At 46.0% G+C, this 2,600-nt stretch overlaps 1 protein-coding gene across 1 annotated transcript; it reads left to right on the forward strand.

Moving 5' to 3' along the window:
- The first annotated feature begins 261 nt into the window (after positions 1–261).
- TMEM174 (transmembrane protein 174) lies at positions 262–2,212 on the forward strand. Its single transcript, NM_153217.3, has 2 exons — positions 262–938; positions 1,129–2,212. The coding sequence occupies exons 1-2, from the start codon at positions 313–315 to the stop codon at positions 1,232–1,234; spliced, it is 732 nt and encodes a 243-aa protein (NP_694949.1). The 5' UTR covers positions 262–312; the 3' UTR covers positions 1,235–2,212.
- Positions 2,213–2,600: the final 388 nt, after the last annotated feature.

Consider the following 2,600-nt stretch of genomic DNA (forward strand, 5'->3'; position numbering starts at 1 on the left):
AAAGAAAAGAAAAAGAAAGAGAAAGATGGGCTCAATAAGTTAATTTTTGAATGTGTGAATGAATGAATGTGAATTAGAGAGACAGCTTGTCATTGACTTGCAAAACAGAGACCTCCACTTGTTGACAATACATGAGAAAACTTCAGGCTTCATTTCTCAGACCTTTATTCTTCTAAACAAGGTCCAGCCCTCTGTGTGTTACACCCTGTTAAGCACAAGCCCTAAGTTCTTCTATAACTAATTTGGACCTGTGATTCCTTGGTTCTCACAATCCTCTCCACTCTAAGAAGCAGGGTGAGCCCACAAGGAGCAATGGAGCAGGGCAGCGGCCGCTTGGAGGACTTCCCTGTCAATGTGTTCTCCGTCACTCCTTACACACCCAGCACCGCTGACATCCAGGTGTCCGATGATGACAAGGCGGGGGCCACCTTGCTCTTCTCAGGCATCTTTCTGGGACTGGTGGGGATCACATTCACTGTCATGGGCTGGATCAAATACCAAGGTGTCTCCCACTTTGAATGGACCCAGCTCCTTGGGCCCGTCCTGCTGTCAGTTGGGGTGACATTCATCCTGATTGCTGTGTGCAAGTTCAAAATGCTCTCCTGCCAGTTGTGCAAAGAAAGTGAGGAAAGGGTCCCGGACTCGGAACAGACACCAGGAGGACCATCATTTGTTTTCACTGGCATCAACCAACCCATCACCTTCCATGGGGCCACTGTGGTGCAGTACATCCCTCCTCCTTATGGTTCTCCAGAGCCTATGGGGATAAATACCAGCTACCTGCAGTCTGTGGTGAGCCCCTGCGGCCTCATAACCTCTGGAGGGGCAGCAGCCGCCATGTCAAGTCCTCCTCAATACTACACCATCTACCCTCAAGATAACTCTGCATTTGTGGTTGATGAGGGCTGCCTTTCTTTCACGGACGGTGGAAATCACAGGTATGGCGTGTCTACTGGGGGAATGCACTCCTTCTAGCCATCTCCGTCATGATCTGTGGCTGTTTGGTCCATGAATAAGGTGTTGGGAGACTGTGAATCTCTTCTTAGCCTGTTGCCCACGATGGCAGCCTTGGTTCTGTGAATGGTGCTTTGGACCATAATGTACCTGTGTTTTCTGCTCACATTTCAGGCCCAATCCTGATGTTGACCAGCTAGAAGAGACACAGCTGGAAGAGGAGGCCTGTGCCTGCTTCTCTCCTCCCCCTTATGAAGAAATATACTCTCTCCCTCGCTAGAGGCTATTCTGATATAATAACACAATGCTCAGCTCAGGGAGCAAGTGTTTCCGTCATTGTTACCTGACAACCGTGGTGTTCTATGTTGTAACCTTCAGAAGTTACAGCAGCGCCCAGGCAGCCTGACAGAGATCATTCAAGGGGGGAAAGGGGAAGTGGGAGGTGCAATTTCTCAGATTGGTAAAAATTAGGCTGGGCTGGGGAAATTCTCCTCCGGAACAGTTTCAAATTCCCTCGGGTAAGAAATCTCCTGTATAAGGTTCAGGAGCAGGAATTTCACTTTTTCATCCACCACCCTCCCCCTTCTCTGTAGGAAGGCATTGGTGGCTCAATTTTAACCCCAGCAGCCAATGGAAAAATCACGACTTCTGAGACTTTGGGAGTTTCCACAGAGGTGAGAGTCGGGTGGGAAGGAAGCAGGGAAGAGAAAGCAGGCCCAGCTGGAGATTTCCTGGTGGCTGTCCTTGGCCCCAAAGCAGACTCACTAATCCCAAACAACTCAGCTGCCATCTGGCCTCTCTGAGGACTCTGGGTACCTTAAAGACTATAAAACAAAACAAAACAAAAACATCAAACCAATGAAATAAAATAAATCATGTCTCCTGCTAGAATAGTATTGGATACCTGACTAAATTACACAAAATAGACCATAATAGGATAGCGCTGTGAATACATCCTTCCCGATCACTGAGTCACAGTGACCCTTGGCTGCTGCTGTTCTCTTCTGCAAGGTTGAAGCTTGACGTGTGATGAACATGGGTGGGCTCTTGGTCCACCCCAGGCTGGGGCCTGCGCCAAGCATGAACTAGCTGGGACCAGTGGCTGACAGAACACAGGACTTCCCTAAGTACCCGTAGGTCTGTGGAGCAAGACAGAGCAGAGTTGCCATGTCAACACATGGGGAATGATATGATAGAAACAATCTTTATGACTAAAAGAAACTCATCTTCTTCATTAAAAAAACTTTGGTGTCCTTAATCTCTCTGAATTTGGCTGTGTAATAAACAACTGGAACTGACTCACAGACTTTAGAAGAGACAGTTTAAAACCATTAGGTTTTAAAAGAAAATATTTGCTTTGGGCTTCAAAGGCAATGCCACTCAAGGTAAGGGTGGTACATCCTAAAGGAAGACACAGGATTAAGCAATTCTTAAAAAAATTTTGACATAGCGTTTGTATATGGAGCAACTTTTACTAATTTTGATCAGAAGTATCTAGGTTTCCAAGGATATGAGTGAAGTAAGCTTGGTATATTATTGTTGTCATTTATGTTATATCTTGGGGACAAAACCTTTTCACATACACTGTCATGTTTGATGATAGGTGATAAGTGAAAATGATTTCATTTAAAGAAACTAGCTTTATG

Source organism: Homo sapiens, chromosome 5, assembly GCF_000001405.40.
Source record: "Homo sapiens chromosome 5, GRCh38.p14 Primary Assembly".
Lineage (NCBI taxonomy): Eukaryota > Metazoa > Chordata > Mammalia > Primates > Hominidae > Homo > Homo sapiens.

Excerpts from the sequence above, each read along its gene's own strand:
- TMEM174 (NM_153217.3), top strand. The coding sequence starts at position 313 with ATGGAGCAGGGCAGCGGCCGCTTGGAGGACTTCCCTGTCAATGTGTTC. Across the intron at positions 939-1,128 it reads ACGGACGGTGGAAATCACAG|GCCCAATCCTGATGTTGACC; the intron begins GTATGGCGTGTC and ends CTCACATTTCAG.